Below are 16601 nucleotides of genomic sequence, written 5' to 3'. Positions count from 1 at the left end.
TTCAGCATTTTCAATTTTGTTTTTGTCTGTTACAGAAAAATTCCTTCTCTCAAGATTTTCCTTTGTGTCATGAATTTTTTATCCACTTTAAAAATTAAAACATTTATTCAGTTTTATTGGGTTCAAGTCAAATAAAGTTTACTATATTTTTCCATTTCTTGCTGTAAATGTATTCAGTGAGAAGTGCTTATTTTTATTCTTCAAGATTGACCTTATTTTTTATCTGATTTTTATAGCAATTTACATCTGTACATCTTTACAGATGACAAACAAGAAAAACAAATGGCAAAATATGAAAATATCTCATCTCAGTAGCAAATATATGTAAAGAATAGCAGCAAATTAATATTTTGCCCATCAAATTGACATGTATTAAAAAGTAAAATTATATGTTCGTGAAAATGTAAATTGATAAAACTGTAAAGAAAAGTTATTTATCATACTTCTTAGTTCTGCTTTAACAGATAAAGAATTTAGAGGTCAAGACTACAATTCTTACAACAATAAAGAAGCTGAAAAAACTAAAAATTAACCAGAGAATTGAAGTCACAACTGGACTGAATACAGAGGATCAGAGCTTACAAGGAGCAGGGACCCTCCACTCAAATTAGCAACTGGTAGAAACAATTAAATGACAATTGACTAATCACTAGAGCCTAAGCCATGGGCTAGCTTGGGAGTTAAAAATTCTAGAGGAATGCACCTTAGGATGACCCTACATTTTTGTGAGATTTGCCTCCAGGTACTCCATTAGGTTCTTAAGTAAAGATTGAAGAAAAATCACCTCATGCTTCCAGCAGGGAAAAAGAAAGAGTAATCATTCTGAAATCTGCCCATAGAGTCCTATTCTCCCTGGAAAGGGCCAGCTTTGGGGGAAACTACTTTGCTTGATTTTTGTCTGACTGAGAAGGGCAAATGGAACAACTGAAGTCCCTTCCAGTCTTCCTGTCTCACATGCAGTGAGAACAAAAGGTAGAAAACTGTTCTGAAGGTCATAGTCCAGAGAATGAGGTCCACTAAAAAAAATGGAGATATAAGCATGAGATTATAGAATACTTCTCTTCAAAACTTTACCACCATATCCTCAGAGCTCCAGTATAATATCAGTGGATCACAACTGGAAGAGCTGAAAGACATAGACTCTATTTAAGAAGGAGTTTCAAAAAAAAAAAAAAAAAAAAAACTAAGAAAAACAGAGAAGATGGAAACAAACACATTAGAGAAAATTTTAGCCATTAATGCCTAAAGCTAAGTCAAACAGTAAATGCAGCCATACTTCTAACAAGATAAATATAAAAATTCATAGTAAAGGCCTATTTACTTCTGTTTCTTTTATCCAATACATCATATCCATCTTTCAACAAAAGTTACAAAGCATGCTAAAAGAAAGGAAGAAAATATAGTTTGAAAATATAAAGAAAGCATCAGAATTAGGCTTGGATATAGCAGATTTTGCAATTATCAGATTGAAAATTTAAAATTACTACAATTAATATGCTAAGAACTCAAATAGACAAAGTAGATTGCCTGTAAGAACAAATAGAAGATAATGTAATCAGAGACTAGATATTCTGAGAAAGAATCAAGAGGAAATGCTAGATATTAAAAACACCGTAATGAAATAAAGAATATCTTTGCTGGGCTTATCAATAGACTGGACATCACTGTGGAAAAAAAAATGGTGAGCTTAAAGATATGTCAGTAGAAACTACCAAAACTAAAAGAAAAATAATTTAAAGAGAAAAAAGAATATAAAAGAATTGTGGGTGAATTTCAAAAAGTATAATGTACATATAATGGGAATAAAGGAAGAAAAAGTCAGAAGCAAAAATATATGTGAGGTAATAATGGCAAGAGGTTTCTAAAATTAATGGCAGACATCAAACGACTGACTCAGGAAGCTCAGAGACAACAAAGCAGGATATATATAAAAAGATCTCACATATCATATTCAAACTTCAGCAAACCAAAGACAAGGAGTAAATATGGAAAGAATTCAGAAAAAAAAACTTACCTGTAGAAGAAAAAGGATAAGGATTACATTGGACTTCCCTTCAGAAATCATTTAAGCAAGAATAAATTGGAAGTTGTGTTGAAATAAGAAAACATCAATTTAGAATTCTGCATACAGAGATATCACTCTTTAAAAGTAAAAGAGTAAAAGATTTTCTCAAACAGAAACTGAAAGAATTTGCTACCAGTAGACCTACCTTGCAATAAATATTAAAATAGGAAAATGTTATAGGTTGGGAACTTGAAGCTACAAAAAGAAAGAGTAAGCATAAGGGAAAGAATAAATCAAGATAAATAAAATCTTTTATTTTTCTTATTTTTAATTTATCTATTTAATATAACATTTAATAGCAACAACATATTGAGTGCAATTACAGTTGTGAATAAGTGAAATTAATGATAGCAATATTATAAAGGACAAGAGGAAAGAATTGGGAACACTTTGTTATAAGATACCAGCACTACCCATGAAGTGGTATAGTGTTATTTGAAAGTAGACTTGATTTCAAAATAAATGTATGTTAATACTTGAGGGTAAACCACTAAAATAATTTTTAAGGAACATAGTTCACATGGTAACAAAAGAGAGAAATGTAATTATAAAATGCTCAGTTAAAACCAGAGAAGGCAGAGAAAGATGGTAATCGGAAAAAGAAATAAACAACAAATGCAATGAATAGAAAAGACTTACAAACATGATAGATATTAACCCAATTTACTTTAAACACCAGTAGTCTAAAGACATCAATTAAAACATAGAGACTGACAGAGCAGACTTAAAAAAAAAGACAATTATATGTTGTCTACAAGAAACCCACTTTAAATATAAAAACACAGATATTTCAAAATTAATGGAATAAAAACCATAGACTATACTAACACTAATCAAAAGAAAGCTGGAGCAATTTTAATTTCGGTAGAAGCAGAATTCAGAAAAAAGAAAATTATCAGGGATAAGGAGTTAATTTAAGGTAGTACAATGCATTACCTCAGTGGTCCTCAATCTTTTTGGCACCAGTAATTGGTTTTATGGAGAACAATTTTTCCATGGACAGTGGAGAAAGGGGCATGGTTATGGTTTCGGGATGAAACTGTTTCACCTCATGTCATCAGGTATTAGTTAGATTCTCATAAGGAGCGCACAACCTAGATCCCTCACATGCACAGTTTGCAATACAGTTCACACTACTTTGAGAATCTAATGCCACTGCTGATCTGATAGGAGGCAGAGCTCAGGCAGTAATGCTTGCCCTTGGGCTGCTCACCTCCTGCTGTGCAGCCCATTTCCTAACAGGCCACAGACCCTTTAATGGCCTGGGGTTGGGGACCCCTGCATTACATGATGATAAAGAGATAATTTTCCAAGAAGTTGTAAGAATCCTTAATCTGTCTGTGCCCAACAACAGGGCACCAAAAAAAAATTAGGAAAATACTGATAAAATTCCAAGGAGAAACAGATAATTCACTGTTGTATTGGAGATCTCAACATAATTCTCTCAGTAATAGGTAGATCCAGCAGGCAATATATAAATGAGGTATAATTGAACAGAATAAATCAACTGGATTTAATTGACTTTTATCAAATATTTCCTTCAACAACAGTAGACTCAATATTCTTCCCAAAGTTGCATGAATCATTCAACAAGGTAGACCATATACTGGGCCATAAAACACACCTCAAAAAAATGTAAAAGAATAGAAATTATACTTGTAGAGAATGTATATTCTAAGACCACAATGTGACAAAACTAGAAATCAATAAGAAAAAGCTAGGTGGAAACCCCTAAGATACATGGAGATTAAGCAGCACACTTCATTTATTATTATTATTATTATAACACTTTAAGTTTTAGGGTACATGTGAACAACATGAAGGTTTGTTACATATGTATATATGTGCCATGTTGGTGTGCTGCACCAATTAACTCATCCTTTAGCATTAGGTATATCTCCTAATGCTATCCCTCCACCCTCCCCCCACCCCACAACAGGCCCCAGAGTGTGATGTTCCCCTTCCTGTGTCCATGTGTTCTCATTGTTCAATTCCCACCTATGAGTGAGAACATGCGGTGTTTGATTTTTTGTTCTTGCGAGAGTTTGCTGAGAATGATGGTTTCCAGCTTCATCCATGTCCCTACAAAGGACATGAACTCATCATTTTTATGGCTGCATAATATTCCATGGTGTATATGTGCCACATTTTCTTAATCCAGTCTATCATTGTTGGACATTTCGGTTGGTTCCAAGTCTTTGTTATTGTGAATAGTGCCGCAATAAACATACGTGTGCATGTGTCTTTTAGCAGCATGATTTATAATCCTTTGGGTATATACCCAGTAATGGGATGGCTGGGTCAAATGGTATTTCTAGTTCTAGATCCCTGAGGAATCGCCACACGGACTTCCACAATGGTTGAACTAGTTTACAGTCCCACCAACAGTGTAAAGTGTTCCTATTTCTCCACATCCTCTCCAGCACCCCTTGTTTCCTGACTTTTTAATGATCGCCATTCTAACTGGTGTGAGATGGTATCTCATTGTGGTTTTGATTTGCATTTCTCTGATGGCCAGTGATGATGAGCATTTTTTCATGTGTTTTTTGGCTGCATAAATGTCTTCTTTTGAGAAGTGTTTGTTCATATCCTTCACCCACTTTTTGATGGGGTTGTTTGTTTTTTTCTTGTAAATTTGTTTGAGTTCATTGTAGATTCTGGATATTAGCCCTTTGTCAGATGAGTAGGTTGCAAAAATTTTCTCCCATTCTGTAGGTTGCCTGTTCACTCTGATGGTGGTTTCTTTTGCTGTGCAGAAGCTCTTTAGTTTAATTAGATCCCATTTGTCAATCTTGGCTTTTGTTGCCATTGCTTTTGGTGTTTCAGACATGAAATCCTTGCCCATGCCTATGTCCTTAATGGTATTGCCTAGGTTTTCTTCTAGGGTTTTCATGGTTTTAGGTCTAACATGTAAGTCTTTAATCCATCTTGAATTAATTTCTGTATAAGGTGTAAGGAAGGGATCCAGTTCCAGCTTTCTACATATGGCTAGCCAGTTTTCCCAGCACTATTTATTCGGTAGGGAATCTTTCCCCATTTCTTGTTTTTGTCAGGTTTGTCAAAGATCAGATAGTTGTAGATATGCAGCATTATTTCTGAGGGCTCTGTTCTGTTCCATTGGTTTATATCTCTGTTTTGGTACCAGTACCATGCTGTTTTGGTTACTGTAGCCTTGTAGTATAGTTTGAAGTCAGGTAGCATGATGCCTCCAGCTTTGTTCTTTTGGCTTAGGATTCACTTGGCGATGCGGGCTCTTTTTTGGTTCCATATGAACTTTAAAGTAGTTTTTTCCAATTCTGTGAAGAAAGTCATTGGTAGCTTGATGGGGATGGCACTGAATCTATAAATTACCTTGGGCAGTATGGCCATTTTCATGATATTGATTCTTCCTACCCATGAGCATGGAACGTTCTTCCATTTGTTTGTATCCTCTTTTATTTCATTGAGCAGTGGTTTGTAGTTCTCCTTGAAGAGGTCCTTCACGTCCCTTGTAAGTTGGATTCCTAGGTATTTTATTCTCTTTGAAGCAATTGTGAATGGGAGTTTACTCATGATTTGGCTCTCTGTTTGTCTGTTACTGGTGCATAAGAATCCTTGTGATTTTTGCACATTGATTTTGTATCCGGAGACTTTGCTGAAGTTGCTTATCAGTGTAAGGAGATTTTGGGCTGAGACAATGGGGTTTTCTAGATATACAATCATATCATCTGCAAACAGGGACAATTTGACTTCCTCTTTTCCTGACTGAATGCCCTTTATTTCCTTCTCCTGCCTGATTGCCCTGGCCAGAACTTCCAACACTATGTTGAATAGGAGTGGTGAGAGAGGGCATCCCTGTCTTGTGGCAGTTTTCAAAGGGAATGCTTCCAGTTTTTGTCCATTCAGTATGATATTGGCTGTGGGGTGTCATAGATAGCTCTTATTATTTTGAGATACGTCCCATCAATACCTAATTTATTGAGAGATTTTAGCATGATGGGTTGTTGAATTTTGTCAAAGGCCTTTTCTGCATCTATTGAGATAATCACGTGGTTTTTGTCTTTGGTTCTGTTTATATGCTGGATTACATTTATTGATTTTCATATGTTGAACCAGCCTTGCATCCCAGGGATGAAGCCCACTTGATCATGGTGTATAAGCTTTTTGATGTGTTGCTGGATTCGGTTTGCCAGTATTTTATTGAGGATTTTTGCATCAATGTTCATCAAGGATATTGGTCTAAAATTCTCTTTTTTTGTTGTGTCTCTGCCTGGCTTTGGTATCAGGATGATGTTGGCCTCATAAAATGAATTAGGGGGGATTCCCTGTTTTTCTATTGATTGGAATGGTTTCAGAAGGAATGGTACCAGCTCCTCCTTGTACCTCTGGTAGAATTTAGCTGTGAATCCATCTGGTCCTGGACTTTTTTTGGTTGGTAAGCTATTAATTATTGCCTCAATTTCAGAGCCTGTTATTGGTCTATTCAGAGATTCAACTTCTTCCTGGTTTAGTCTTGGGAGAGTGTATGTGTCAGGGAATTTAACCATTTCTTCTAGATTTTCTAGTTTATTTGCGTAGAGGTGTTTATAGTATTCTCTGATGGTAGTTTGTATTTCTGTGGGATTGGTGGTGATATCCCCTTTGTCATTTTTTATTGTGTCTATTTGATTCTTCTCTTTTCTTCTTTATTAGTCATGCTAGCGGTCTATCAATTTTCTTGATCTTTTCAAAAAACCAGCTCCTGGATTCATTGATTTTTTGAAGGGTTTTTTGTGTCTCTATTTCCTTCAGTTCTGCTCTGATCTTACTTATTTCTTGCCTTCTGCTAGCTTTTGAATGTGTTTGCTCTTGCTTTTCTATTTCTTTTAATTGTGATGTTAGGGTGTCAATTTTGGATCTTTCCTGCTTTCTCTTGTGGGCATTTAGTGCTATAAATTTCCCCCTACACACTGCTTTGAATGTGTCCCAGAGATTCTGGTATGTTGTGTCTTTGTTCTCATTGGTTTCAAAGAACATCTTTATTTCTGCCTTCATTTCGTTATGTACCTAGTAGTCATTCAGGAGCAGGTTGTTCAGTTTCCATGTATTTGAGCAGTTTTGAGTGAGTTTCTTAATCCTGAGTTCTAGTTTGATTGCACTGTGGTCTGAGAGACAGTTTGTTATAATTTCTGTTCTTTTACATTTGCTGAGGAGTGCTTTACTTCCAACTATGTGGTCAATTTTGGAATAGGTGTGGTGTGGTGCTGAAAAGAATGTATATTCTGTTGATTTGGGGTGGAGAGTTCTGTAGATGTCTATTAGGTCTGCTTGGTGCAGAGCTGAGTTCAATTCCTTGATATCCTTGTTAACTTTCTGTCTCATTGATCTGTCTAATGTTGACAGTGGGGTGTTAAAGTCTCCCATTATTATTGTGTGGGAGTCTAAGTCTCTTTGTAGGTCACTCAGGACTTGCTTTATGAATCTGGGTGCTCCTGTATTGGGTGCATATATATTTATCTCTTGGCAGAAACTCTACAAGCCAGAAGAGTGGAGGCCAATATTCAACATTCTTAAAGAAAAGATTTTTCAACCCAGAATTTCATATCCAGCCAAACTAAGCTTCATAAGTGAAGGAGAAATAAAATACTTTACAGACAAGCAAATGCTGAGAGATTTTGTCACCACCAGGCCTGCCCTAAAACAGCTCCTGAAGGAAGCACTAAACATGGAAAGGAACAACCGGTACCAGCCGCTGCAAAAACATGCCAAATTGTAAAGACCATCAAGGCTAGGAAGAAACTGCATCAACTAACGAGCAAAATAACCAGCTAATATCATAATGACAGGATCAAATTCACACATAACAATACTAACCTTAAATGTAAATGGACTAAATGCTCCAATTAAATGGCACAGACTGGCAAACTGGATAAAGAGTCAAGACTCATCAGTGTGCTGTATTCAGGAAACCCATCTCACGTGTAGAGACACACATAGGCTCAAAATAAAGGGATGGAGGAAGATCTACCAAGCAAAGGGAAAACAAAAAAAGGCAGAGGTTTCAATCCTAGTGTCAGATAAAACAGACTTTAGACCAACAAAGATAAAAAGAGACAAAGAAGGCCATTACATAATGGTAAAGTGATCAATTCAACAAGAAGAACTAACTATCCTAAATATAAGCAGCGCACTTCTAAACAACACAAGTGTTAGAGACATCTCAACACAAAGCAAAGTCATTTTGGACTCAATGAAAATCACACTTATCAAAATATATCAGATACAGAGAAAGCAATGCTTAGATGGAGATTTACAGCATTGAAAGCACATATTGGAAAAGAAGAAAGATGTAAGATAAATAATCTAAGCTTCTACATTAAGAATCTAGAGAAAGAAGAGCAATAAAAACTTAAATCTAAAGAAAGAAATAATAAAAAATAATATAGAAATGTACACAATTTAATACAAGGAAACAATAGAGAAAAATAATAAAACCAAAACTTCAGTATAATTGATAAAACTCTAGCAGGCTAACCAGGAAAAAAGGGAGAAGGCACCCATTATAAAAATCATAAATGAAATTGAAACCATGTCTAGTGATCCTATAAACATTAAAAAGATAATAAAGAAACATTATAAACAACTCTGTTTATGAATTTGGTAACTTAAATAAAATGGACAAATTCCTTGAAAACCAGAAGTTACTAAAACTCACACAAGAATAAATAATTTGAATAAGACTATAAATATACATTATAACTAAAAGAACTATATGTAACTATAAGAAATACCTGAGGTTGGGTAATTTATAAAGAAAATATATTTATTTGGCTCGTAGTTCTACAGACTATTCATGAGGGGTCCACCCCGATGACCCAAGCACCTCTCACCAGACCCCACCTCCAACTTTGGGGATCAAATTTCAAAATGAGATTTGGAGGGGATGAAAAATCCAAACTATATGACTCTTCCAGAAAATAGAGTCAGAAATATTATAGATCTTCTAAAAAAAAGCTATTTTTATTCAAATATATGTTATAACAAATCATTGTTCTTTAATTTCTTTAATGTGATGCTACATGATCAACAGATTTTTAAATATCTTCTGTGTGTTTTTTACTGTTTGGAGTTTACAGATAAAGTTTAGGAACTTAGAAAAGAGAGTTCACCCAAAACTGGTAAAAGTTTGAAAAGTTTTAATGTGAACTGTCAAAATGGAAATAATTCAAAACTGGACTAAAATGAAATTTTTTATTTGAGTATAGGCCAATCATGTTTGTGACTTTGTAAAGTTACTAAATCTCTTTCAAACTCTCCTAGATAAGTAAAAATATGAATGCTTATATGGTATAATAGTGAAAACTATAGATAATATATGAAATATTTAGTCCAATGTCTGACATTTAATATGGGTATTGTAAGTAGTTACTACACTTGGTTAAGTAAATAATAAACTGTGAATAAAACAAGTTCAGATCACAGCTTGAACATAAATATTATTAACTTTTATTTTGTCATATATAACAATACTTAGAATTTACCCCTTTCGTGATTTTTAGAAAAAATGATTAATGAAATGCTAACATTTTTGTGTAATTTTGTAAAAGACAAAAGTGGTCACATTATAAGAAATTATTCAATTCACTTTTTCTATTTGTCAAGAGCTTCTTTATTAGTTCCCTAACATCACTTTTATAAACTTAATGAAATATTTTTCTATAAAATTTTTCTATAAAACTTATTTTCATTTTTTTAAAGAGATTTTCCTTGTATTTTCTGAGTAACAGACAGAAAATTTTTAACACTGGGGTATGGGATTGATCTTATGCAAATATAATGTATTCAGGAGGGTACCAATTTGATAAGTGACTGTTTTATTTTGAGTATTTCTATATTATAATTTTATTTTTTATTTCATCAGTATAGGATTCAGATAAAAGGAGCTCACCTTATTATTAACAAAATGGTATGCTCTATTGGGCAACGTCTGGTGAAGGTATTTGTTTCAAATGTATTACTAGGAATGAAGTAAAGAAACCCTTGCCATCACCATAAAGTCAATTTGTTAAAAATTCTCCAATCATATCAGTTACAGATTATACTGAAGAACAAGCAATAGTAATGTAAATATAGTAATTTAATCAAACATGAAGTTATTTTTCTCATTAGGAAATCTAGAAGGCTGTCACGACTAGTGCAGCAGATGTCATGAAACTCATACAATTTTTCCATTCTGCCACTCTTAGATGTGACTGATTTCATCTTTGTTGTTAGTCACAAGATATATACTACCTTTCAGCCCCCAGCCTATGTTCCAGGCAGGAGAACAAATGGAGTGACAAGGAGGAGAAAATGTGACAGGAATAAATCTTCCATAATGTCTCATTGACTATCACTATCTGCCCTATCCATAGGGTAGGCTGGGAAATTTTCAGCTGGGTAATTTTTTTCTATCAAACAAAAATGGGACTCTTTTAAGGGAATGGATTTTGAGCTAACAGCTAGCAGTATCTGCTATATCAGGAAATTCAGGCTTGGTTATTTCCACCACTATGGGCTGGCTGCTCCAGTAGTCTATACAATACTTGATGGTGAAGTTCTCAGAGAGACCCTATTAATTCACTAAAGGCCATCTGGACTTGAAAATATTTAAGTATTACTTTCATCTTAGAGTTATAAGAATATTTTGACCAATGTATGAATCACTGCCTTTCTACTGGTCTACTGCTCTACCAGCTGTTCTATTAGTCTACCAACTGATCTTGTCTACAAACTAACACTGTCAACATCTCACTACAATAACAGTCTATAAAAATGCTATTATAGCTACTGTTTACTGCATTATGTAAGTCATCAAATCAGCCTAAGTAATTTAATTAAATGATCTTACCTTTTTGCTGCTAAAGAAACATGTAATTGTAAAATATTTCCAAACAAAATGGGAACCTACTTATTGTTTGAACTCGGATTGGTTATTCTCAAACATAATGTGTATGAGAATTACCTGGGGATTTTGGTAAAAATGATGAGTGCAAACATTCACTTCCAGAAATATAGATTCAGTGGCTGTAAAACAGGGCTCTGAAATAATTTAAATAAGTTTTATAAGTGCTACAGGTGAATTCTGATACTGAAAGCCCACACATTTTGTTTTGTGAAACATTACATCAGGCAATTTGACCATAAAGTTAAGGTTCTTAAAACTGTGTATTATCACCTCCTCCCGTAAGGGTGTCAAGAATATGCCCTTACTGGAAATATTTAATGATTAAAAATTAATTATTTGTAAGGCAATTGCCTCTTCTAGTTAAGATGAAAAATAAATATCCAATTCATTTTTCTAAATTTTTATTATAATAAAATTATTAAAGTACATGGATATTTATCTTTTATTTTGGATTCTGCCCTACAGCTCTATCCCTGATACCATGACACATAGCTCAAGCCCTCATTAGATTTTAGCTAGATTTTTTGCAGGAGCTAATTAAATGCCTCTCTCACTGCATTATCATTAATAAATGTAGGTGTCATAGATTCAACTAGTTGGAGTAGACCTTAGAAGGCATAAATGTCAGTCTTCTCACTTTATAAAAATTAAAACTGCAGAAACAGCAAATACAGAACTTTCCCAAAGTGAGAGCTTTAGTAAATAATAAAACTATAATTTGTAACATTGAAATAAAAATATCTTATTGATTCCACTCAATTTTAAATATTTAGTCTTGTGAATTGTTTCAAATTTACAGTATGTTTGTAGTAACAGGCAAAAGATTTATATGATCTAGAGAGAAACCAGAGCATAGTATAAAATAGGGAAGAAAAAGTATGTGGTGATTGGAAAAGAAGAAAAGGGAGGTAAAGTGGAGGTTTAGTCAGAGAGGCATGGTAGAAAGATTTTTTTTTTTGGCTGAGTGGAGATGGAATCTCACTCTGTTGCCCAGGCTGGAGTGCAGTGGTGCAATCTTGGCTCACTGCAACCTCTGTTTCCTGGTTGAAGCAATTCTCCTGCCTCAGCCTCCAGAGTAGCTGGGATTACAAGTGTGCACCACCATGCCCAGCTAATTTTTGTATTTTCAGTAGATATGGGGTTTCACCATGTTGGCCAGGCTGGTCTTGAACTCCTGACCTCAAATTATCCACCTGCCTCAGCCTCCCAAAATGCTGGGATCACAGGTGTGAGCCACCGCACCCGGCCAGTAGAAAGATTACGTTAATGAAACACCAGGGTTTCCATCTAGGTCCTGCCGCTTACTGCACAGAAAGAAAATCACTGAAACTATGAGCACTGCCAGGGAAGAAGACTTCAATCAGGTTCTTCAGCCAAGGAGAAGAGAAATTAGTCTCAAATTTATCTGCCTGACCAACTGAAATGAAGGGATTATATAGCAGGGAAAAAATGTAATGGTGTGTGGAAAAACATAAATTAGGGAGGTGTGAGGAAGAGAGAGGGTTCAACAGGAAGCAGGCCATTGGTTAGGCAACTATGATGGTTGCAGGAACTGGCATTTCATGTCCAGATGCAGTGATCCAGTAAGTTTCAGTTCCTCATACTATCTGGGAGACCTGGTGCTTGGTTCTTGAGAACGGAACTCAGATAAGACAAATGCATCTTTCTTAAGTTTTAAGATTGGGAGGGTCAATTTCTATGTTTGTTCAAGAGAAACCATAAACATCAGTTCTATGGGACAATTGGGCTGGCTTCAAATAAAGCCTTTAGGATAAAACTCATCCTAGTCAAGTGTGTTTTGATTGAAAGTGAAAGAATCCTAATCAAAATACCTTAAGCACAAATGAGAGAATTTTCAGGAATGGTGCAAAGATATCTCAGAAATCCCAGGTTAGGAAACATAGGTTATCTCACAAATGTCTTCGTTCTAGGAACTAGAAAGGTGTCTACAGCCAAAATCCAGTTTGGATTGCAAGGATTTGTAGAGAAAGATAGAAGTTCAGAAGAAAGAGAAGAACCTATGTTACTGGCTTTGAATATGGAGGTAGGAAATAAAGCCAATTAATACAGGCGGACTCAGGAAACTGGAAAAAGGCAAGGAGACAGATTATTTCTCAGATCTCCCAGCAGGGATGCAGGCCTTCTAACACAATGATTTTAGAGTTCTGACCTCCAGAAATGTAAGAAAATAAATTTGTGTTGTTTGAAGCCATGAAGTTTGTGGTAATTTGTTGCAGCAGCAATAAAATATTTATTTATTTATAAATAAATAAAATAAAAATAAAATAAAATAAAAAAATAAAAATAAATAAAATTTTTATTTCAGTTTATGTACATTAGAGCTTATGCTTTTAGCTATTATGCATAATGCTTCTGTAAACATTCATCTGTAAGTTTTTATGTGGAAATGTAGTTTTAATTATTCTGGGTATATACCTAGAAGTAAAATTGCTAGGTCATGTGCTAACTTTATGTTAGCATTTCAGAAATTGCCAAAATGTTTTCCAGAGTTGTTTCCCTTCTTCATTATCCCACCAGCTATGCATAAGGGCTCCTAATTATCCACATTTCTGTCAATACTTGTTATTCTCTGTCTTTTATTTTAGCAAGTCTAATGGGTATAAAATAGTACCATATTGTGGTTTTGAATTGCATTTACTTGCTAATGATGATGAGCATCTTTTCCTGTGTATGTTTACCTTTTGTATATCTTCTTTGGAGAAATATCCACTAAATACCTTTATATACATTTTAATTGTGTTATTTATTTTTTATTGTGGGGTTCTAAGAGTTTATATTTTGGGTACAGGAATTATCAGATAGATAAATTGTCAGCCTTTCCTCCTATTCTGTGGCTTGACTTCACTTCTTGACTTCACTTTCTTGATGGCAACCTCTGTAGAAGAAACTTTTTTGTTTGTTTGTTTTGATAAATTCCAATGTATCTACTTTTCTCCTGTGTCTCTCTTGCTTTTGGTGCCATACATTGAAAATATTGCCTAATCTAAATCACAAAGACTTATTTTTCTATGTGAGTTTTCTATTTTTGCTATTGCATATAAGTCTGTGGAACACTTTGAGGGTTTTGTTGTTGTCGTTTTTATAATAGTATGGGGTAAAAGTCCAACTTCATTTCTTTTGCATGTGTCTAACCAGTTGCCCAGCATCATTTGTTAAAAAGACTCTTTTTTCCTCCATTGAATTGTCTTGACACCCTTGTTGAAAAGCAGCTGACCATAAATATAAGGGTTTATTTTAGTTTCCTCAATTCTATCTTATTGATGTATGTCTAGTCTTATGCCAGTACCACACTCTCTTCATCACTGCAGCTTCATTACAAGCTTTGGAATAGGGAAGAGTCCTCCAGCTTTGTTCTTTATCAAGATTGGCATATTTTGGGTGCCTTGTTTTTCATATTAATTAGCTTGCCAACTTCTGCACAGCAACACAACAACAAAAACAACAACAACAACAACAAACCCCTGGGATTTTGACAGGATGACCAAATAATCTGTAGGTTAATTTGGGAAGAAATCATCTTCACAATATTTAGTCTTCTGACACACTGATATGAGATGTGTTGCCATTTATTTAAGTCTTCATTAAATTCTTTAAATATTTTGTAGTCATCAATGTGTTTGTCTTGCACTCTTTTGGTTAAATGTATACTACATGATGTAGAATTGTTTTATAAATTTTGTTTTTGGATTTTTCATTGCTAATGTATAGAAATACAGTTGTTATTTATATATTGATGTTGTATCCTATTACCTTGTTTAATTAGTTTATGAGTTCCAAAGTTCTTTTGTCTATTTCTTAGAATTGTCTGTATGCAAGATTATGTCATCTGCTAACAGAGGTATCTTTCCTTATAAATGGGTACCATTTATTTATTTATTTATTTTATTTCTTTGCTTAATTGGCCTGGCTAGAATCTACAATATAATGCTGAATGTAAGTAGTGAGAGAAGATATCCGTTTCAGTTCCTGAATTTAGAGAAAAAAAACATTCAGTCACGGTTATCTGTGAGATTTTATAGATATTTTTAATCAGGTTGAGAAAGTTTCTTCATTTTCTTAGTTTGTTGAGTGTTTTAATCATAAATTAGTGTTAAATTTTCTTATGTGTTTTTTAATGTACCTAGTGAGTTGAATCTGTATAGTGGAGTGAGTTTTTTTTTCCCTGTTTTTCTCTTAATGTGATATATCACATTGATTGAATTGTGTAAGTTAAACCAACCTTACCATCTGGGATATTTCCTACTTGGTGATGGTAAATAATACTTTTTATAGGAAATTTTTTTTTTTTTGAGACGGAGTCTCGCTCTGTCGCCAGGCTGGAGTGCAGTGGCGTGATCTCAGCTCACTGCAAGCTCTGCCTCCCAGGTTCAAGTGATTCTCCTGCCTCAGCCTCCTGAGTAGCTGGAACTACAGATGTGCACCAACCACGCCCAGGTAATTTATGTATTTTTAGTAGAGACAGTGTTTCACCATGTTGGCCAGGATGGTCTCAATCTCTTGACCCTGTGATCTGCCTGCCTTGGCCTCCCAGTAGTATTTTTTAAATTATCATGTATATATTTATAAGATATATTGGTTTCCAGCATTGTTTTTTTTTCCATGTCTTTATCTGATTTAGGTGTCATGGTCGTAATGGCCCCATTGCATAAGTTGGGAAGTGTTCCCTCCTCTTTTATTTTTGGAAGATGTTATGAAGAATTAAGGTTCATTCTTTATACTTGGTAGAAATTAACAGTGAAATCATCCGGGCCTGGACTGTTCTTTGTGAGGTTTTCATTGTTACTTATTCTATCTCTTCAAATGTTATAGGACTGTTCAGTTTTTCTAATCTTTCTTGAATCAATTTTGCAATATATGTCTTTATAAAAAATTGTTCATTCTAAGTTACTAAATTTTTGTGGTAATGCCACCACTTTCATTCCCAATTTTGTAATCTGAATTGTCTTACTATCTTATTTTTCAAAAAATCTGGTTTGGATTACTACCAATTTAATTTCATTAGCATACATAAATTTTGCTCCAATATAATTCCATTCCCTTTACCCTCCTTTGTCCTACCATTTGTAATACAAATGGGATCTTTATATGTCATAAGCCCATTCACAAAGTTTTATAATGATTGCTTTATTCAATTGTCTTTGCATCAAAAATTTTTGCAATTAAAAAATCTATTATCTTATCTTTGATATATATTCACGTAGCTACCTTTACTGGTGCTCTTCACTTCTTTGTGTGAATTTGAGTTACTGCCTAGGGTTCTTTCATTGCAGCCTGAAGGATTCACTTTATTATTTACTGTAAGGCAAGTCTATAAACATCAAATAATTTTAGCATTATTTTTTGTTTTTTATCTATATATGTCCTAATCTCTTTTTCATTTTTAAAAACAGTTTTGCTGGATTTAAAATTCTTGTTGATCGTCTTTTTGTTTCAACATTTATTATGTTGTTCCAATCTGTTTTAGCCTCCATGGTTTCTGATAAGGAGTCAGCTGTTAATTACATTGAGAATCTTTTGTATGAAGAAATTATTTTTCTCTTATTGCTTTCAAGATTATTATGTTTTCCCTTTGGCTTTTTATCTTTTACTACTTTATGTATAAGTTTATAT

This window comes from Homo sapiens, chromosome 5, assembly GCF_000001405.40.
Source record: "Homo sapiens chromosome 5, GRCh38.p14 Primary Assembly".
Classification (NCBI taxonomy): domain Eukaryota; kingdom Metazoa; phylum Chordata; class Mammalia; order Primates; family Hominidae; genus Homo; species Homo sapiens.
Note: the sequence above shows the minus strand (reverse complement) of the source record.